The sequence below is a fragment of the Homo sapiens genome, chromosome 22 (genome assembly GCF_000001405.40).
Source record: "Homo sapiens chromosome 22, GRCh38.p14 Primary Assembly".
NCBI lineage: Eukaryota > Metazoa > Chordata > Mammalia > Primates > Hominidae > Homo > Homo sapiens.
The window spans coordinates 24,597,574-24,618,775 of NC_000022.11; the positions used below are offsets into that span (position 1 = coordinate 24,597,574).

The 21,202-nt window shown below is 51.8% G+C and overlaps 1 protein-coding gene across 3 annotated transcripts in view, besides 5 other annotated features; it reads left to right on the forward strand.

The window, feature by feature from the left end:
- GGT1 (gamma-glutamyltransferase 1) overlaps nt 1–21,202 on the forward strand; it is a 45,247-nt gene that overhangs the window by 13,824 nt on the left and 10,221 nt on the right. The window contains exons 1-8 of one of the 3 annotated variants that reach the window (NM_013421.3): nt 5,620–5,748; nt 10,381–10,450; nt 11,417–11,658; nt 12,392–12,460; nt 12,785–12,958; nt 13,502–13,672; nt 17,203–17,333; nt 17,468–17,554. In NM_013421.3, the coding sequence (NP_038265.2) occupies nt 13,509–13,672; nt 17,203–17,333; nt 17,468–17,554 (382 nt within the window). In that variant the 5' untranslated portion in view covers nt 5,620–5,748; nt 10,381–10,450; nt 11,417–11,658; ... (1 more) ...; nt 12,785–12,958; nt 13,502–13,508. Of the gene's footprint in view, nt 1–5,619; nt 5,955–10,380; nt 10,451–11,416; nt 11,659–12,391; nt 12,461–12,676; nt 12,959–13,501; nt 13,673–17,202; nt 17,334–17,467; nt 17,555–21,202 lie in introns of those variants that run through there. The other 2 variants (NM_001288833.2, NM_013430.3) reach the window with 2 other exon arrangements.
- Nucleotides 5,503–6,468: an enhancer, noted in NCBI's record as "H3K27ac-H3K4me1 hESC enhancer chr22:24999043-25000008 (GRCh37/hg19 assembly coordinates)". NCBI's record gives its function as "activates a minimal SCP1, AML or CMV promoter by ChIP-STARR-seq in primed H9 embryonic stem cells {active_cell/tissue: H9 hESC(primed)}" and the evidence as "EXISTENCE:reporter gene assay evidence [ECO:0000049][PMID:30033119]".
- Nucleotides 6,469–7,433: an enhancer, noted in NCBI's record as "H3K27ac hESC enhancer chr22:25000009-25000973 (GRCh37/hg19 assembly coordinates)". NCBI's record gives its function as "activates a minimal SCP1, AML or CMV promoter by ChIP-STARR-seq in primed H9 embryonic stem cells {active_cell/tissue: H9 hESC(primed)}" and the evidence as "EXISTENCE:reporter gene assay evidence [ECO:0000049][PMID:30033119]".
- Nucleotides 6,841–6,930: an enhancer, noted in NCBI's record as "active region_18781". NCBI's record gives its function as "activates an Ori minimal core promoter by ATAC-STARR-seq in GM12878 lymphoblastoid cells {active_cell/tissue: GM12878}" and the evidence as "EXISTENCE:reporter gene assay evidence [ECO:0000049][PMID:35858748]".
- Nucleotides 10,124–10,654: an enhancer, noted in NCBI's record as "H3K27ac-H3K4me1 hESC enhancer chr22:25003664-25004194 (GRCh37/hg19 assembly coordinates)". NCBI's record gives its function as "activates a minimal SCP1, AML or CMV promoter by ChIP-STARR-seq in primed H9 embryonic stem cells {active_cell/tissue: H9 hESC(primed)}" and the evidence as "EXISTENCE:reporter gene assay evidence [ECO:0000049][PMID:30033119]".
- Nucleotides 14,975–15,343: a silencer, noted in NCBI's record as "fragment chr22:25008515-25008883 (GRCh37/hg19 assembly coordinates)". NCBI's record gives its function as "represses an EF-1alpha promoter that drives an FKBP-Casp9 reporter gene in an ReSE screen in HepG2 liver carcinoma cells {active_cell/tissue: HepG2}" and the evidence as "EXISTENCE:reporter gene assay evidence [ECO:0000049][PMID:32094911]".

Genomic DNA, 21,202 nt, shown 5'->3' on the forward strand with positions numbered 1-21,202 from the left:
AGGAGGCTGAGGCAGGAGAATCGCTTGAACCTAGGAGGCGGAGGTTTCAGTGAGCCGAGATAGCACCACGGCATTCCAGCCTGGGTGACAGAGTGAGACTCCATCTCAAAAACACACACACACACACACACACAAAACAACTGTGTTTCGCCTCTGTTCTCACAAGACAATAATCATCACAGAAGACTTCTTGTAACCAAATTTGTGGATTCTCCCACACACCCAGCAAGAATCAATTCTGCAGCAGACTCCAGCTGGTGTCTTCCAATTCAACTCAATTCTGGTGCTGTCTACCTGGAGATGGCCTCAGAAACCACAGGTTGAGGGCTTGGTCCCACAAGACCAACCCCCATCCCACCAGTCACAAGTCTGGGCATTGGGAACATCTGACTAACTGGCTTCTAGTTGGGGTTCCAAGGCCCCCTCTTTGGGTTCAATTAATTTGCTAGAGTAGCTCACACAACTCAGGGAGACCTGTTTATCGGTTTATTTCAAAGGATGTTTTATTTTATTTTCTCCTCAGACATACTTTATCATCCCTTAAAGTCAGTAGCTCAAAGGAAACTTTAAAAGCTATAAATAGGCCGGGCACGGTGGCTCACGCCTGTAATCCCAGCACTTTGGGAGGTCGAGGCAGGTGGATCACTTGAGGTCAGGAGTTGGAGACCAGCCTGGCCAACATGGTGAAACTCCATCTCTACTAAAAGTACAAAATAAGCTGGGTGTGGTGGCAGGAGCCTGTAATCCCAGCTACTTGGGAGGCTGAGGCAGGAGAATCATCGGTTGAACCCGAGGGGTGCAAGTTGCAGTGAGCCAAGATCACACCTCTGCACTCTAGCATGGGCAACAGAGCGAGACTGAGACTCCGTCTCAAAAAAAAAAAAAAAAAAAAAGATAAAGGCTACAAATAAACAGTCAGATGAAGAGATACATAGGGTAAAGACTGGAAGACTCCTAAGTACAGAAGTTTCTGTCCTGGTAGAGCTGGACACATGGATGAGTTGGTTTTTTTTGTTGTTGCCCAGGCTGGAGTACAGTGGCACTATCTCAGCTCACTGCAGCCTCTGCCTCCCGTGCTCAAGTGATCCTCCCCCCTCAGCCTCCCAAGTAGCTGGGACCACAGGCATGTGCCACTATGCCCAGCTAACTTTTTTATTTTTGTAGAGATGGGGTCTCTCTATTTTGCCCAGGCTGGTCGTGAACTCCTGGGCTCAAGCCATCCACCCACCTCGCCCTCCCAAAGCGCTGGGATTATAGGCATGAGCCACTGCACCTGGCCATGGATGAGTTCTTGTTCCCCTTCCTGTCAGCCTCCACATGAAACTCCCCAAACCCTGTCCTCTTGGGCCTTTTTTAAAAAAATTAATTAAGAAATTAAAGACAGGGTCTCTCTATGTTTCCCAGGCTGCTCTTGAACTCCTAGTCTCAAGTGATCCACCCACCTCGTCCTCCCATAGTGCTGGGATTACAAGATTAGAGATGCCAGCTGTCAGGTGGCTAGGTGGATTCAGTGTAAAGTCCTAGAAGATGCATTTTAGTAAAAACAGCTAGCCACCTGACAGCTGGCATCCATCCATTCAGTGAAGATTGTTGGGCACTGTGGATACTGTGGAGGAGGCAGCAGTCGCAGCCGGCCTGCAGAGTGAGATGCAGTGCCAGAGGGCTTCAGGAGGAGGTGGCATTGTGATTGATGTCTGAAGAGTGTCTCCATGATAATGGAGTCAGTGCAAAGTCCCAAAGACTGGGAAGGAGCAAGAGGAAAGGATAGCTCATATCCAGCTGCCCCACTCCAAAAAAAAAAAAAAAAAGAGGAAAGGACGGGCACCAGCAAGGTAGGACAAGGGGGGCCTCTGGAGTGTTTTCTTCTCAGTTGGGGAGGGGTGTGCTCAGATTTGCATGCCAAGTGCCTGGGCTGCAGTAGGGAAACAGCAGAGGGGCTGGGACCTGTGATTGGGAGTCTCCAGGTGAGAGGGTTGGCCTATGGGGACTGGAGGTCAGGTGAGGCTGGTAGTGGGTTATAGAGGTGGGAGCAGCTGGACAGGCCCAGTGAGGATGCAGGGGTAGCTGCCCAGGGCTAGACTCTGGCTGCTCTGGTGGCAGTTGCTTAGCTCAGGCTTGGGCACGTCCACCTGGCGCATCTGAAACATTAGCCAGCAGGGCGCAGACTCGTCAGTGAGAGCATTCCTGAGCCCAGCATCCAAGAAGCGAGGGAGGTCGGGAAGGTGCTGCTATGAGGCAGGGGGAGGTCCCCAAAAGTCCAGGTGAGAGCATGGCATGCGTGGAAAGTGCTGCGCAGTTTTGGCATCAGTGAAGTCACAGGGGGCTGTGGGTGAACAGGTGTGCTTGGGCATGTCACCAGGGAGGCCTTGAGACAGGAGCGGGTTGGCTTTCCTGGAGATCAGGCTGTGGCATGGTGTCGGGACTGGGGCATGGACAGTCTTCCTCCACCCCCATCCCCTCCTTGGAGCTTTCAGACACTGCAGATAATTACCAGGTGATGTGATAAATACTACCTGTGGAGGGTGCCTTGGGCAGGGAGGACAGGGCGGCCAGGAGGGGGGCCCTTTGGGCCCCTGCTCTGAGCTGCTCATCAGGAAAGGGGAGAAGCTCCTACAGGCCTGGTGTTGGAGCCTAGCCAGACCCTGTGAGGCCTTGAAAGTAGGAGGTGCATTGTCTGTGCATTGTCATCTCAAGGAATCCACCCAGCAACTGTTCTAGTTATCCCTGCTCTCTAGGTAGGAGACTGAGGCTAGGAAGGGAAAGGCTGCTGTGATACCCACACTATCAGTGGCTGGGGTTGAGTTTAAACCCAGGGACTCTAGGGCCCATGCCTCTGCCATCCTGCCTCTGAGTTTTGGAGCTGGACTTGTTCCATCAAGTGCCAGGCCAGCCCTGCTGCTGGGTGCTCCCAGGCATTCACAAGCTGACAATTCTGAAGGGCCCACGCACTTGGCCATGCTTCAGTCTGTGTCCTGACATCACAGGTGGGTGCTGGAATAACAAATGCTACAAATGGCACTGGGGGTGTTGGCCAGGCTCTGGGGGCACAGGAGTTCTGCCCATGCCCACAGCTGGCCTGTGCTGACCTCCCTCCATCACAGCTGAGTAGCACCAGCACTTCCATTGAGCTGAAGTCTTCCTCCCATTCCTTCAGTGTGGTCTTTGTGGCTCAGAGAGGCTGTGGCCAGGTACAGGATCTGGAGTGGCCCCTGCTTCTCTGCTCTGTGACCTTAGACAGTGGGCAGGATCTGAGGCCAGGCCCACCTGCAGCAGGTGTTACAAAGAGGCAAATTGGCGCTTAATGTTGGTAAGAACTTGCCAGCCAACCAGAGTCCCACTATCTTTGGAGGTAGTGAGCTCCCCATTGGGGAAGGTATGTAAGCCAACCTTTCTGGGATGCTGGAAGATCAGAGAGCAAACACTTGAGATTCTGTGATCCTAATATTGAATCCAATGCTATGATGTTTGGATTTGAAGTCAGTTCTATTTAGCCAGTTTACCAAGTGTCTCCTTGGTGCAGGACACCAGGAGACACAAAATGTCCTGGATAATATTGGGTTTCTGGCTCCCAGGGGTCCCTGAGATGTTGTTCCAGCGGTTCTGGAGTATGGGCCAGGCACCGCTTGCATCTGGACCGATCCGCATTGTTCGATCATTGTGAGCCTCATGATGGCAGTTCGGGATGTCATGCCCCCATGCGCCCCCCAACCCCACCCCGCCATGGCCCTCACCATGGCCCACTCAGGGCATGAGGCTTTCTGGGTGATTGCTGGTATTCAGTGTTGTCAGCTTCTTGGACCTGTCAGTGGGGGTGGGGCTGCAATGAGATGCCAGTTGCAGGAAGTGGTTTGCACAGCCTTCCTGGTGTCATGGGTCACTCTCTTGCCGAGTGGCTTTGGGCAGGTCCCTTCCCCTCTCAGGCTGCAGGTTCCTATGCCAGGAGCTCCCTTCTTGCCCCACCAGGGCCTTGTTTTCCCAGATACAGAGGTGGGGCAGATCCCAGCCCGTTGAAACAGACTGGGCTTTGGAGGCCACAGTGGGCCCATTTCTCAGAGGGACTGTGTGGCTGGATGCTGAGCCAGGCACTGGACTGGCCCTTTGAGCCTCCTGTCTGGCCAAGGCCCCTGAGGCACTGTGGGCTGCTGGTGCCAGCACACAAGGGTGATAAGGAGATGAAAGTCACTAGGATGGTGGGGCGGCACCCGCCCCGGGCTGTGTTGGCAGCTGCCCCTGGCTGGAGGCCAGCTTGGCCCTGGAACCCTCCTCAAGGAACAAGGACACAAAAGAGCCAGCTCAGCCAGCCTCTACCTAGCACCCCAATCAGCACTCCCTTCTTCCCATGACCCCTACCCTCTGCCCAGCTCCTGTAACTGGCCAAGGAGCTAATGGACACCCACCAGGGTCTTAATGAGTGAGCCAGGGTTAATGGGTTACTGGGCCCGGTGACACATTCACCAGCCTCCCAGGGCTCTCAAAGTCCACACTGGCCTGGCCTTGAACGTCTTAGCTCGGCCACCTCCTTTTCCAGCTTTGACACCTCGGGGCTCAGGACGGGCCTAGGGTGGTCAAGAGGTCCCCTGCAGCCCTCACTTCCTGGAAAAGGCTCCATTTCCTGGCCTTCAGGCTCAGGTGGTTCCTTCCGCCTGGCAGGTCCTCCCCAAATCCAATCCCAGCTCGGGCTGGATTCCCAAGGCCCCTATTCTGGTGTCTGCCCCTTCCCTAGGGCTCTTCCCCCTGGGGTGACCATACTCTCATGCCCAGCCAGGTCAGGGCTCCTTGAGAGAAGAATCTGGAGGGGCCAGGATTTGATGGGAGAATGAATGATGGAATGAAAGAAGGAACGTAAGCGTGAGCCTTGCTAAGAGTGACAATACTGGCAGGCTGCAGACCATGTGTGGACCTCGATCTGAGGGCTTAGAGGCTTCGGCCTGCCAGCGCTGTGGGGGCACCCACCCCATCTCATTGAATGGGGCAGAGCAGGTGAGGGCATGAGATGGACAGATGGGCCTCATCCCCCTGCTTCCGTTGCCTGGGGTCCTCGGTCAGCCTGTTTGCTCAGACCCCTGAAATTGGGGGTCAAGGAAGGACCCTCCTGGATTATGTGACTCCCTTCAGTCCAGGTGACCAGGGTCCTTGGAGTGACAGCTCCTAGAGCCCCACCTGTAGTCCTGCAAGCTGGGGAGAGGGCCTGTTAGGAGAGGCATCCCCTGCCCTGGGGTTGTAGAGGTGAACTAGGCTCCTCAGACCTTGTGGGGCCTCAGATGCTTACATCTCCAGCCCCTCCTGGCGTGGGCATCTGGCTGCAGCCCAGCTCTGTGGCCCCATCTCCCAGGGAACCTTTGGTCTAATCTGCCTCCCGCTGAAACCCAGCCTCATTCAGCCCCACCGAGGCTTTCAGAGTTCAGGTCTCTCATTCAGGGTTTGAGACCCCACCGGGCTCAGAGACACCTGCAGCCTGCAGCGGTCCCAGATCACAGCCTCAGGGATGGGACCAGGAGCCAGCCCACATCCCACCTGCAGCAGTTCCTGTGCCTTTAAAGCCTCCCCTCCCCCCGCCCCGCCCCCAGGCCACTAGGGGAGGGAAGGAGGAGCTGGGTCACAGCAGGGAATCTTAGCTTGGTTTTGGTGTGCTGCTGGATGACCAGACCGGGCGTCGGGTGAGCCCAGAAGTGAGAGCAGTTGGCTGTGCCCCAGTGCTGTGTGACCCAGAGGCGCCGCTCACCCTCTCTGAGCTGGTGGACATCATAGGTGGGGAAGCTCAGGTCAGGGCACTCCCATGAGTGTCTGGAGGCCTGAGTCCCATTCTCAGCTCTGCCATATGCTTGCTGCGCTCTAGAGGAGTTCCTCTTCCTCTCCAAGCCTCGGTTTATGTACCCGTGCAGTGGGAGTGAGTTGCACTTCGGGGTGAAGGGGGCAAGACTTGTGTGGGCGCATCCTGCAGAAGGATCCCACAGGTGGGCAGAGCCCTGGGTTCTTTATCCGACTGGGTCTGGGCTGGGGGCCTCTGTTTCTTGGCTGATGAGTTTATGTGAGTTTGAGTGAGGTATGCGAGTGGGTGAAGGAGGGCTGGGGGGAGTCACCTGACTTGTGCGAAGAAGCTCTTGAGAGAGCCGTGGCTTCTTGGAATTAAGAGGAAAGAGTGCAGCATGAACAGACAGGCCCTGGAGGATCTGGCAGCCCTGAGTGGGGGCGGGGGGTCAGCTCTGGAGTAGAGCCAGAGCTGTGATGGGGTTGGGGGACCCTGTGTCCTTGGGCCATGCTTGCCTCGCTCCTGGGTTCTGTTTGTGGCTGTGGATTGGGGTGGGGCAGGGCCGGTTGTGCGAGGGGTCATTGCCCAACTCCAGGGGGCGCCTGCCACCTCTCAGCTATATATATAGGGATATATATAGTTCTTTCGACAGGTTTCCAGCAGGTAGTGGTTATTAAATCTTACTGAAGGGGTGTTTTTTCTGATTCTCGGCTCTGTGCCGCAAGGGTGGAAACTGTGAGAGACAGATTCCAACTCCACGTCTGGGTAGTAAGCATCCAGTCCAGGGCTGTAGGCAGTCCTGGGGAAGACGCCAGAGATCTGTGCATTCTCATATCGAGGGATAGCGACTCCAGGCTGGGGGCTGGCAGGGTAAGGGGTGGGTGGGTCCTGGGCTTACCCGCAGGTCTGCAGACTTCCTGGGGCCAGCTGACCTCGTAAAATCCCTTTTGTCTAAGCTTCAGTTTCCTGCCTGTGAATGGGGTTGGGGCTGTGCTCTGGTTTCACCCTTGTGGCTCTGGGGTTGTGGTGACAAAGCCATCAAGCTGGGTTGAAGGATTAACCAGGAAACTTCAGACTGGCTGCCGTGTCTACCTCTTCCTCATACTCCTCTCTCTGCTGCATCCTGGGAAGCTGCTCTGCTCAGCCTAAATGAGGCTCAGTTGTGTGTGTGCGCACGTGCTTGCACGTGTGTTGGAAGTGGGTGATACTGACACCAGAGTCTGTGTCTCTGGGTGAGTGAGGCTTGCACATTTCTCGGGACAGGGAACTCACTACCTTATGTGCCCAGGACAAGAGCTGTGGGGTCTGGAGAAGACTTCTAGGCCAGCCCCTGCAGTCCTTCCTCAGGTGACATGGCTTCCCCAGACCCACTTCCCCCTAGGTGCCCTCTCTGCATTCAGGGGGTAGAGGGCTGACTGGGACAGAATGTGACACACTCAGCATGTGAGGAAAAGCCTCCTTCATTCTGTAGGCCCTACCTCTATTAACATGTCCTTTGATAAAGTGCCTCCCCTCCTGTCTCCCCTCTCTGGAATCCTCAGCTGCTGCCAGGCTTCAGCTGTGCCCCATTGAAGGCAGCTCTGTCTCCCTACTTTCCCCAGCCCAGGGTTTTCCTTTTGGGGTCAGCTGCAGGGATCTGGGCCATCCTTTGCCCACTCAGACTTTCTTTCTGCCCACCTGCTGCTGTGAATCCTGTATGTCATATATATATATAAAATATGTAATATATTATATATTATATGTAATATATAATATATAAAGTATATTATATAATATGTATTATATTATATATTATATAATATGTAATATATTATATAATATATAATATGTATTATATTATATATTATATAATATGTAATATATTATATAATATATAATATGTATTATATTATATATTATATAATATGTATTATATTATATATTATATAATATGTATTATATATTATATAATATGTATTATATATTATATAATATGTATTATATATTATATAATATGTATTATATATTATATAATATGTATTATATATTATATAATATGTATTATATATTATATAATATTATAATATGTATTATATATTATATAATATTATATAATATGTATTATATATTATATAACAATATATAATGTGTATTATATATAATATAATATTATATAATGTGTATTATATATTATATAATATTATATAATGTGTATTATATATTATATAATATTATATAATGTGTATTATATATTATATAATATTATATAATGTGTATTATATATATAATATTATATAATGTGTATTATATATATAATATTATATAATGTGTATTATATATATAATATTATATAATGTGTATTATATATTTAATATTATATAATGTGTATTATATATTTAATATTATATAATGTGTATTATATATTATATAATATTATATAATGTGTATTATATATTATATAATATTATATAATGTGTATTATATATTATATAATATATGATGTGTATTATATATTATATATTATATGATGTGTATTATATATTATATAATATATGATGTGTATTATATATTATATAATATATGATGTGTATTATATATTATATAATATTATATGATGTGTATTATATATTATATATAATATATAATATTATATATAATATATTACATATAATATATCATATATTATATTTATATAATTTATATAATATATCATATATTATATTTATATAATTTATATAATATATCATATATTATATTTATATAATTTATATAATATATCATATATTATATTTATATAATTTATATAATATATCATATAAATATATTATATATAGTATTATATATATAAAATTATACTTTAAGTTCTAGGGTACATGTGCACAACGTACAGGTTTGTTACATATGTATACATGTGCCATGTTGGTGTGCTGCACCCATTAACTTGTCATTTACATTAGGTATATCTCCTAATGCTATCCCTCCCCGTTCCCCTCACCCCACAACAGGCCCCAGTGTGTGATGTTCCCCTTCCTGTGTCCAAGTGTTCTCATTGTTTAATTCCAACCTATGAGTGAGAACATGCATGTCTTATATGCTCTCAGGCAGAGAGGAAACTGCTGAGCAGGCCGGGGCAGGGGACAGAGCCCTGTGGCTCTCCACTTTAGACCCCTCCTGGCTGACTGCCATGGAATGCAGCCACTTAGCAGGGCCAAATCCCCTGATGTTCCTGTTGGCTGTCTAGCCTTCAGGGACAGGTCATGGGACCTTGGTTCCTGCCCTGTCATCTTCCCAGTCACCCTGATCTTCACGGGGAGGAATAGCCTGGGAAAGGACTTGGTCACAGCACCTCCACCCTAGGGCTATTGAGGATCTCACAGTTGTGTGTCTGGTGGGTTCTGTCCAGAGCCCATTTGAGAGCAGTGGATGACAGGACAGGCCTATGTGACCCAGGCAGGCAGCAATATTGGGTCAGCCTTCATGTCCCCTTCTGTCAGCTGGGGCAGCCTGGAAGCATGATTGTGGGGTAGGTGTTATGGGCACGGAATAGACCTCAGGTGGAGGCTGCAGGGGCTCTCCGGCACCGTAGACACAGCAGGCCCAGGAGCAGGGGAGGGAGCCATGACTCAGGGAGACTCTGGCCCATATCCTTGGCAGATGAGGGCCACAGGGGAATGGGCAGCACTGTCCAAAGTCCCCTGGGCTGGGTCCGCAGCTGTTCCTGGCTCAGACTTCTTGGTGGGCTGGTCAGAAACATGCAGTAACTTGGGGCAGTTACCAGGTGGCCAAGCCTGCACTGCTGGGCTCTGTGAGCTTGGGCCAGCTCAGGCCCTCTCTGGGCCCTGCCTTTCTGGGCTGTTCGGGTGGTTCCTTGGGCCTGGGGTGCTAATGTTTCTGGATGGGCAGCAGAACCAGTCTGCACTCAGGGCCCCAGGCCATGTTCCCGGAACACACCTTTAGCATTGACAGCAGCGTGTGGTGAGGCCCCTTAGGCTGGGTTCTGGTCTAGTGCCAGGGGCACCACTACTCCACCGCCTCCAGAGCCATCTCTGGGACACTGGCTGTGAGTTCAGATGTTCTGAACAGGGACAGGGAGAGCCAGAGGGAACCAGCCTGGGGCTCACTGGAGGGGCTCGTGGGCAGACAGCGCCCTTTGGAGGGAACTGAGTCTGAAAGGAAGGAAACCCTTTCCCCGGCTCATAGCACCTGCCATCCAGGGCCCTCCCAGGGCTGCGTGAACTTTAGTCACGTGGTGACAGGCCGAGTCACCATGCCAAGTCACTGTGCGCCTCCTTGCTGCTGTGACGTCAGCTTCCCCATCCTCCCAGCCAGGCTGGACCTCCGTGAGAGGCCTGCCTGTCCTGCACCCTGTGCAGATGCCTCCCACTGTCCGCCGGGGCTGCTGGGCACGCCCTGGCTGGTCTCTTGGACTAGGTAAGCTCATGAGTCCTCTGGCCGCTCCTGCTCCTTCCCTGCCTCTGCTCCTCCTCGGAGGTGGCCACCCCCAGATCCCAGTCCCAATTCGGAGGCCCCCTGAGGAGTGCTGCAGGGGGCCACAGGCGTGGCTCTGAGCCACTCTGGAGAGTGGCGGGGGGCCCAGCCAGTTCTGTGGCTGGGACTTTCCCAGGCAGACAAGTCTGTCTCTTCCTCCCCAGCGGGTGCAGCCCAGAACTGTCTTCTGAGGAAGAGGTGCTCTCCTGGGCCCCCACTGTCCCCAGGCCTCAGGTAAGCCCATCAGGGTCCCAAGGAAGGGGGTCTGGGTTTGAGGCCAACCATGGCAGCTGACCTACTTTCTAGCCTCAGTTTCCCCTAGTGTGTGCAGCTCTCACGCTGTTTGGGTGAGAACCAGGCCTCTGGGCTTGGACATTCTTTCAGTGAGTTTTTAGGGTGGAGGGATGGGAAATGGAAGCCCAGGACCTCAGCAGGGTGTCTTCCTCCGATCCGGGGACATCTGCCTGTGGGAGGCTGGGCCCACCCTCCCTTGCTGACCTGCCCTGGGAGGAAGGGACAGGGCCCAGCACTGCCTACTCCCCTCCCTGTTCTTCCCAGCAGTCTGAGCCTGGCTGGGTGTCCCCTGCTCCTCCAGCAGCCTACTTGGGCCTTTGGGTAGACAGATTAACAGACAGGCGAGGCTGGGTCATGGTTGGACCACCCCAGGACCCTGACCGGGGGCTCAGCTCATGACCCTGAGCCTGGGAGAGATGAGGCCATGCCCTCCAGGGCACTCAGCATGACCCGGCCCAGTGGACGGGACTGGGTAGCTTCCTTGGTGCAGGGGGCTGTCATGCTAGGACGGGGTCACTGACCAGGCCAGGCCCCTGCCCCATGACTTGTGGTGGAAATGTCCTTTTGTTTTTGTTTTTTTGCATTTTTTTTGAGACGGAGTTTCACTCTTGTTGCCCAGGCTGGAGTGCAGTGGTGCAATCTTGCCTCACTGCAACCTCCACCTCCTGGGTTCAAGCAATTCTCCTGCCTCAGCTCCTGAGTAGCTGGGATTACAGGCACCTGCCACCATGCCTGGCTAATTTTTTGTATTTTTAGTGGAGATGGGGGTTTCACCATGTTGGCCAGGCTGTTCTCAAACTCTTCACCTCAGGTGATCCACCTGCCTCTGCCTCCCAAAGTGCTGGGATTATAGGTGTGAGCCACTGCACCCGGCCATGTGATGGGAATGTTCTGTGTCCATAATAGATGCTGCATATTGCTGGCCCAGCTCCTGAGGCTCTTTGGACCTCCAGGAATCGGTGTCTCTATCAGGAACCCTTAACCCTGACCCGGACTCCCAGCTGGGACCCGGGGTGTCGGAGTGGCAAGAGCGCTGTCAGGCCTGGTGAAGGGTGTGAGCTGTCCAACGGGGCAGGGAGGAGGCAGGGCCTGTTCTGCAGTTGGACAGACAGAGCCCTCTAGCTGCTTTCTGGAAGACTGAAGGGCAGGTGATGTTGGAGGGAGGGAGTGCAGGCAGGGGCTGTGAGGGAGTTCAGGTCAGAAACAGGTGGCGCCTGGATTCAGGCTGTGGTGGTCACGGTGGGGATGAGGGGCTGCTTTGGATTGTGCTGGGGATGTGGGGTGGTGCGCTGCTGCATGACTACTGCCAGGTCTCTCTGCTCTTAGTGTCTGCATCCAGGGCTGGGAGGGGGTCAAATGAATCACACTATCGGCCCCAGGCCCACCAAGCCTGGGGAGGTGGCCACCCTTCCATGATGGCATTTGGATGTTCCCTGTGTGTGGGGAGGGCACAGGGACTCCATTCGTAGACCACCTCTGGGACAGTGTGTCTGCCTCTGAGGTCAGACGCTCTGCACTGGGACAGGGTGGAGTGGAGGGAAATCCAGCTTGGGGCTCATTGGAGGGGCTTGCTGGCAGACACCGCCCTTTGTGGGAAACTGACTGTGGGAGAGGGGAACCCCAACCTCTGTCACCACATCCCTCTTCCCTGTTGTCACACCTGTCACCTGCTGCCATAGCCATGAGACTTCCCAAGGGTCACTGCTGCCACTCACTGCACAGCCTGGAAGGGAGTCCACAGGGGACATACAGTGAGCAAGAGACCTGTGCCACTCAGGCCTCCTGGGGGTGTCCCCAGTGCAGCCATGATGATAATCACAGCTACCATTCACCAAGCCCTGCCCACAGTCTAACCTACTCTATTCACAACACTCCCAGCAGCAAGGCAAGTGAGGTGCTGCCGTCATCCAGGCTGGACAGTTCAGTGATTTGCCTGAGGCCCCACAGCAGGTGAGTGGCAAGTCCAGCATCAGAGCAGGGCAGGCTGGCGGTGCCCCCTGAGCCCCCTTTGCCATGCTGACCACATGCACATCCTGGGCTTCTGCAGGAATGCCCTGTCCCCTACCTGCCCTGCTCCGTGCAAAACCCTCTTTGAGCTGTGCCTGGGAGACATGCTGAGAGAATTCATGGAAACAAATGTGTTACTGACAGCCTCTTTGCCTCCAGAGTTCAACTGGAGACAGAGAAACCAGCTAGAGGCAGAGGGAGGTAACACGGAGTCCCCCAGAAAGGTCTGGGCTGCGCGTGCTTCAGGTAACCTCCCTTGACCTTCAGGAGAACGAGAAGGCTGCCTGATCAGAGAGTCCCTGAAGAAGATTCTGTGGCTACAGGCTTCAGCAGAGTGTGAGGGAGACCCCGGTTATTTCCTCAGCTATTTCCACCAAATCCTCCTGTCTTTCGTGGCCAACACCCCAGGCAAGGCTTGGGGCCCCCGTCTGCTGCTGGACGGTAAGTCCTGGCCCCGTGGCAGTGAATCTGTGGGGCGCTCTGATTGTGGGCACTATGGAAGCTAAACCCCATGCTCCAGGTGGGGTGGAGGGTCTTCAGAGGACTCCTGGACAGTGCCAGGCTCTAGGCTGGGGTGGGGGACACAGGAGAAACCAGGCCAGGCCCATCCCTACTGGAGCTTCTCCCTAAGCAGTGGAGGCTCAGCCACTGTAAGGAGGTAGGCAAGGCCCTGCAGAAAGAGGGGTGTGGAAATCTGGGGGCTCCCAGGAAGGGCCGCTGCTGGAGATGGGGTTCTTACCAGGATGGGCTCTGAAGATAAGCAGGGAGGATTTGGGAGGGCAGAGATGAGGCCCAGAGCTTCTGGCAGAGGGCATGGCCTGCGCAAAGGTCTGGGGGCCGGACAGCCTGCACGTATTCTGGGAAGCGGGAAGGAGACACAGGCCTTGTGTTTCTGAGGCCCGACTTTAGACTGTGCCCTGTTGGGGAGGGGCCAGGGAATGTCTGAGGCTAGGCCTGACCCTGCTTCTTACCCCGTGGGTGCAGCAGAGCCATGAAGAAGAAGTTAGTGGTGCTGGGCCTGCTGGCCGTGGTCCTGGTGCTGGTCATTGTCGGCCTCTGTCTCTGGCTGCCCTCAGCCTCCAAGGAACCTGACAACCATGTGTACACCAGGGCTGCCGTGGCCGCGGATGCCAAGCAGTGCTCGAAGATTGGGAGGTGAGCAGGGCAGGGCATGGGACATGGGCCCTGAAAACTGGGCAAGTGGACCTGAGCAATACCTTCACCCCCCTGAGACTCAGTTTCCCCATGTGTAAGCTTCGCTTGGACTCTCTCAGTAGCCTTTGGGAAGGGGACAGTGACTCCGAGAGCAGGGTGTGGGTCTCTAGAGCCAAACAGGGCCCCTTTTCTCAGTTCTAAGAGTCTCTGTCTCTTTGGAATAAACTGCACTGTTTTGTTGTTTGGTTGTTATTTTTACTTATTTCTTCCTATCTATCTATCTATCTATCTATCTATCATCTATCTATCTATCTATCTATCTATCTATCTATCTATCTATCTATCTATCTATCTACTATCTATCTATCTATTTATTTAGAGATGGAGTTTTGCTCTGTTGCCAGGCTGGAGTGCAGTGGTGCAATCTCAGTTAACTGCAACCTCCGCCTCCCAAGTTCAAGTGATTCTCATGCCTAAGTCTCCCAAGTAGCTGGGATTACAGGCGTGCGCCACCACGCCCAACAAATTTGTGTGTGTGTGTGTGTGTGTGTGTGTGTGTGTGTGTGTGTGTGTGTTTCCAAGACAGAGTATCGCTCTGTTACCCAGGCTGGAGGGCAGTGGTGCAATCTTGGCTTACTGCAACCTCCACCTCCCAGGTTCAAGTGATTCTCCTGCCTCAGCCTCCACAGTAGCTGAGACTACAGGCATGTGCCACCATGCCCAGCTAATTTTTGTATTTTTAGTAGAGACAGGGTTTTGCTATGTTGGCCAGGCTGGTCTTGAACTCCTGACCTTGTGATCCTCCCACCTCTGCCTCTCAAAGTGCTGGGATTAAGGTGTGAGCCACTGCTCCTGGCCTAATTATGGTGTTTTTAGTAGAGATGGGGTTTCACCATGTTGGTCAGGCTGGTCTTGAACTCCTGACCTCAGGTAATCCACCCACCTGGGCCTCCCAAAGTGTTGGGATTACAGGTGTGAGCCACCACGCCCGGCTTATTCTTTTTTTTTTTTTTTTTTTTTGGTTAGGAGACAATTTCTTTCTTTCTTTTTTTTTATTTTATTTTATTATTATTATACTTTAAGTTTTAGGGTACATGTGCACAATGTGCAGGTTTGTTACATATGTACATATGTACACATGTGCCATGTTGGTGTGCTGCACCCACCAACTCATCATTTAGCATTAGGTATATCTCCCAATGCCATCCCTCCCCCCTCCCCCCAAGGAACACTGTTGCCCAAACAGGGACATGAAGGGCTTATTCTTTTTTGTTGTTGTTTTGTTTTGTTTTGTTTTTTGAGACGGAGTCTCACGCTGTCTCCCAGGCTGGAGTGCAGTGGCGCAATCTCGGCTCGCTGCAACCTCCGTCTCCTGGATTCAGGTGATTCTCCTGCCTCAGCCTCCTGAGTAGCTGATATTACAGGCATCCGCCACCACGCCCGGCTAATTTTTGTATTTTTAGTAGAGACAGGGTTTCACCATAATGGTCTGGCTGGTCTCAAACTCCTGACCTCAGGTGATCCGCCTGCCTTGGCCTCCCAAAGTGCTGGGATTACAGGCATGAGCCACCATGCCCGGCCGGGCTTATTCTTTTTTTAAGGTGGAGTCTTACTCTGTTACCCAGGCTGGAGTATAGGGGAGCGATCATAGCCCACTGCAGCCTCAAACTCTTGGGTTTAAGTGATCTTCCCGCCTCAGCTTCCTAAAGTGCTGGGATTACAGGTGTGAGCCATGGTGCCTGGCTTCTACTGTTTTATTCTATTTTAGACTCTTATCTCATGTTATATACAAAGATCAGTTCCCTCCTAAAGACTTAAACAGAAAAAATATTATGTTTTTCATATTTTGAGACAGGGTCTTGTTCTGTCACCCAGGCTGGAGTGCAGTGGCATGATCATAGCTCACTGCAGCCTTGAACTCTTGGGCTTAAGCGATCCTCCCACCTCAGCCCCCTGAGTAGCTAGGACTACAGGCGTGCATCACACCTGACTAATTAAAAAAGACTGTTTTCTAGAGATGGTCTCACTCTATTGCCCAGGCTGGTCTTGAACTCCTGGCCTCAAGTGATCCTCCACCTTGGCCTCCCAAAGTGCTGAGATTACAGGTGTAAGCCACCATCTCTAGCCGGGAAAAAAAATGTTATTAATAAAGTATAGCAATTTCCCTTTTTGTCCCAGTTATAAAAGTCATGTACATTTGTTTGCTTGATAAAGAGGAAACTGTCTGGGCAAGGTGGTCCACACCTGTAATCCCAGCACTTTGGGAGGTTGAGGCGGGCAGACCACCCGAGGTCAGGAGTTCGAGACCAGCCTGGCCAACATGGTGCACTCTGTCCCTACTAAAAATATAAAAAGTTAGCCGGGCATGGTGGTGTGCGCCTGTAATCCCAGCTACTCAGGAGGCTGAGGCAGGGGAATCACTTGAACCCAGGAGGCAGAGGTTGCAGTGAGCTAAGATCATGCCACTGCACTCCAGCCTGGGCAACTGAGTGAAACTCCCTCTCAGAAAAAAAAAAAGAAAGAAAAGAAAAGAAAAAGAGGAAACTGTAATCCCAGCACTTTGGGAGGTTGAGGCGATAGGATTGCTTTAGACCATGAGTTCGAGACCAGCTTGGGCAACATAGAAAGACCCTATCTCTACAAAAAAGACAAAAAATTGCCAGGTGTGGTGGTTCTTACCTGTAGTCCCAGCTACTCAGCAGACTGAAGTGGGAGGATTGCTTGAGCCCAGGAGGTCAAAGCTGCATTGAGCCAAGACTGTGCCACTGCACTTCATCCTGGGTGACAAAGTGAGACCCTGTCTCATAAAACAAAGGCTGGGCACAGTGGCTCATGCCTGTAATACCAGCACTTTGGGAGGCCAAGGTGGGTGGATCACTTGAGCACAGGAGTTCTTGACCAGCCTGGGCAACATGATGAAACCCCATCTCTACAAAATACACAAACAAACAAAATTGGCTGGGCATGGTGGCATGTGCCCATAGTCCCAGCTACTTGGGAGGCTGAGATGGGAGGGTCAATTGAGCCCAGGAGACTGAGGCTGCAGTGATCTGAGATCACACCACTGCACTCCAGCCTGAGCAACAAAGAGAGACTTTGTCTCAAAAAAAAAAAAAAAAAAAAAAAAAAAAAGAGGCCAAGGCAGGCGGATCATGAGGTCAAGAGATAGAGACCAGCCTGGCCAACATGGTGAAACCCCGTCTCTACTAAAAATACAAAAATTAGCTGGGCGTGGTGGCATGCACCTGTAGTCCCAGCTACTCAGGAGGCTGAGGCAGGAGAATGGCTTGAACCCGGGAGGCAGAGGTTGCAGTGAGCTGAGATCGTGCCACTGCACTCCAGCCTGGCAATAGAGCAAGACTCCATCTCAAAAAAAAAAAAAAAAAGAAAGAAAGAAACTAAAAACAAAAACCCCAAAACTCGAATGGACTTCTCTTCCATCCTCCTTTGGGCAGGTGGGCAGCAGGGTGTGTATGCGGGGCCAGGGTGGAAGCCTGCAGGTTCTCATGCCTTTATGTGCCACATGGCAGGGATGCACTGCGGGACGGTGGCTCTGCGGTGGATGCAGCCATTGCAGCCCTGTTGTGTGTGGGGCTCATGAATGCCCACAGCATGGGCATCGGGGGTGGCCTCTTCCTCACCATCTACAACAGCACCACACGTGAGTGCCTCGGGAGAGGAGAGGGAGAGGGGCAGGGGGTGTGGGTTGGGCCGAGGCACAGCTGGGCGGTCCCCAGGCTCACGTGGCATAAAGGGTTTGGGTGGGCGGGCCTGCCTACCTGCTTCTCCTTCTAGGAAAAGCTGAGGTCATCAACGCCCGCGAGGTGGCCCCCAGGCTGGCCTTTGCCACCATGTTCAACAGCTCGGAGCAGTCCCAGAAGGGTAAGCCATGCGGCAGACTTGGGGCGTGGGTGCAGAGCTGGCTGAGCCACCGGGAAGGGGCCTTGCCCACAGGAGCCTGCTCCCGTCAGGGTTCAGGGGCAGTTCTGTCACCCCCCATCCCTTCCTGTCCCCATAGCACCCTCCCACAATGAGTGGTCAGGACCATCATCACCATGGTAAAGGGCCGGGAGCTTCTGTTATTTCTGCTAAGGCCTCCGGGGCCACTCTGTGCAGCACATGGAGAGAATAATTATTATGCTAGCAGACCTCATGGACCAGGGCTCACTGGGGCCCACACTCTGCTCTGTGCTTTTCACCCATGAGCCTCTCACAACCCTCCCTGCTCCTTTGGGCTAGGGGATGCTGTGTGGATTCCCATTTTACAGGGTGGGGATGCTGAGGCTCAGACAGGTCACGCAAATCAGTTGAGGTCACACAGCTGGGAGGTGGTGAAGCTAAAATTGAACCCAGGCTGTCTATACCGTGCCTTTTCAACAGGCATCCCATTCACTCATTTGTTCATTTGTGGGGATGGTGCTCTAGAATGTGAGGTGGAGTCTCTCTTTTCTAATCTGGTCTTAAGTGGAGAGGAGGCCCCCAAATTCCCCAGGTACCTGAAGGGAAGCCACTGTCCATCCAGGAAGCCACTGTCTGTCCTCAAAGGTGGTACAGTAGATTGTGAGATAAAAGTTGGAGGATGGGAGGGTCTCAACAACTCACGCCTCTAATCCTAGCACTTTAGGAGGCCAAGTCAGGAGGAGCGCATGAGCCCAGGAGTTTGAGACCTGCCTGGGCAACATAGCAAGACTCCATCTCTACAAAAAACGGAAAAAAAAATTAGCTAGGTGTGGCGGTGTGTGCTTATGTTCCCAGCTACTTGGGAGGCTAAGGTGGGAGGATCACTTGAGCCCAGGAGGTTGAGGCTGCAGTGAGCCATGATTGTACCACTACACTCTAGCTTGGGCAACAAAGTGAGACCCTGCCAAAAAAAAAAAAAAGGCTGGGCCTTTTTTTCACAGGCTCACGCCTGTAATCCCAGCACTTTGGGAGGCTGAGGCAGATGGATCACCTAGGTCAGGAGTTCAAGACCAGCCTGGCCAACATAGTGAAACCCTTTCTCTACTAAAAGTACAATAATTAGTCAGGCGTGGTGGCACAGGCCTGTAATCCCAGCTACTCAGGAGGCTAAGGCAGGAGAATCGCTTGAACCCAGGAGGAGGAGATTGCAGTGAGCCGAGATCATGCCACTGCACTCCAGTCTGGGCAACAAGAATGAAGCTCCGTCTCAAAAAAAAAAAAAGTTGGAGGATGGAGGGGCAGGACACACTCACCATAGCAGGTCTTAGACTTCAGGTGGGGGTCCTGGGTGGTGCCCTTTGGAGTCTTCTGCAACATACTCAATCTTTGACTTTTTTCTTTTTTTTTTCTTTTTTTTTTTTTTGTCACCCAGACTGTCGCCCAGGCTGGAGTGCAGTGGCACGATCTCGGCTCACTGCAAGCTCTGCCTCCTGAGTTCACGCCATTCTCCTGCCTCAGCCTCCCGAATAGCTGGGACTACAGGCGCCTGCCACCACGCCCAGCTAATTTTTTGTATTTTTTAGTAGAGACGGGTTTTCACTATGTTGCCCAGGCTGGTCTCGATCTCCTGACCTCGTGATCCCCCGGCCTCGGCCTCCCAAAGTGCTGGAATTACAGGCGTGAGCCACTGTGCCCGATCAATCTTTCATTTTTTTTTAATACTCATTGAGAAACTCAGCATTTGTAGACATGAAGTTGCTCAGGGTAAGAGAATGCGGGAATCATAGGCTTGGCACCTTGTGGACTCTTAGAATCATTTATTTAACTTGAATGTATTGAGTATTCTCTTAAAGAATCAGCTGTTGTTCCTGAAGCTGGGGTGAAAAACAAAGATGGCAGATGAAATCTGTGACACTCCAGGTGGGAGGAGAAACTAGGCAGGTGCAGGTGTGTTACGGGCTGTAGAAAAACAGGTCTGGAGGGCCTCAAAATCTGGGACTGTATAGAGGGTGACCTAGTCAGGGAAGGGGACATCTGAGCAAAGACCCAGAGGCAGAGATGGGGTCAGGGGAGTTATCTCCTGGTCTGCTATCCAGGTGTGATGGCAGGGACAGAGCCCTGTGGGGAGCTGGGGAGGCTGCAGCAAGTGATCCAAGGGAAATGGCCCAGGTTGTGTGGGATCTCTTAGGTTATGGTGAAGCCTCTGCTTCCTGTCTGAGGGAAGTGGGGGCTCGTGGAGTATGTGAGTGGAAGGGGATGGATCTGGCCTATGGACCCCGTGGGTTGCTGTGTAAGGGGCAGGGAGCATGTGGGGACCTGTCTGGAGGTCACTGCAGTAATTCGTGGAGAGGGTGCTGGGAAGTGGCTGACGCTGGACAGACACACTTGGAAGTGGAGTCTGTGGATTTGAGGATGGGTTGGGTGTGACGCTTGTGTAGGGAGTCCCCGGGGACCCCTGATCTTTTGTCTGTACCTGGAAGGATGGGGTGACCCTAATGGAGACAGGCAGGGTTCTCAGGAAGCAGGTTGAGCAGACACTCAGGAGCTCGGTTTTGGGCACGTTGAAGTTTGAGATGCTTTCTTCGAGCAGGCAGGTAGATCCTCAGGTCTGGTGATCGGAGGAGCAGCCCAGGCCAGCAGGTCAATTTGAGAGTTGTCAGTGCATAAATGGAGGCTGAAGCTCAGATGTCAAGCAGACCACCAGGAGAGAGAGCAAAGACAGAGGGGAGAGTAGGAGCTAGGATGGCAGGCGGGGGAGACTCGGGTGGAGCCAGGTGCTGGGATGCAGGGGCAGCTCTCAGGGAAAGTGATGAGCCCAGTAAAGCTGAGAGGGGGCACTGGGTCTGGCAGTGTGGGGGTCACCAGAGAACTTGGCAAGTGTGCTGGCATGAGAGTCTGATTGGCCTGAGGTCAGGAGAAGATTTTTTTTCTGATATTGATACATGATATTTTCTATATTTATGGGTACATGTGAGTGCTTGTTACATGCATAGAGTGTATAATGATCAAGGCAGGGTATTTGGAGTCTCCGTCACCTTGAATATTTTTCATTTCTGGGTGTTAGCACCATAGTCCTCTCTTCGTTACTTTGAAATATACAAAATACTGTTGCTAAGCATCGTCACCCTGGTCTGCTATCAAAGATTAGAACTTCTCCTGTCTTGGCTGGGCACGGTGGCTCACACCTGTCATCCCAGCACCTTGGAAGGCTGAGGTGGGTGGATGACCTGAGGTCAGGAGTTTGAAACCAGCCTGGCCAACATGGCAAAACCCCATCTGTACTAAAAATACAAAAATTAGCCTGGCGTGCTGGCCTGTGCCTGTAATACCAGCTACTCGGGAGGCTGAGGCAGGAGAATCGCTTGAACCTGGGAGGCGGAGGTTGTAGTGAGCTGAGATCATGCCACTGCACTGTAGTCTGGGAGACAGAGCAAGACTCCATCTCAAAAACAAACAAAGAAGAAAAACAAAACAAAACAAAAAATAACTTCTGTCTAACTACAAGGTGGAAGGAATCATGTGCTGGGTGTCAGACCTTCCGGGATGTATGTGCAGCTTCTAGGAATTGAAACCACCAGCTCTTGGAAACTTGTGCCAGGCTTCAGGGTGGGAGAGGCAGTTCTAGAGCCA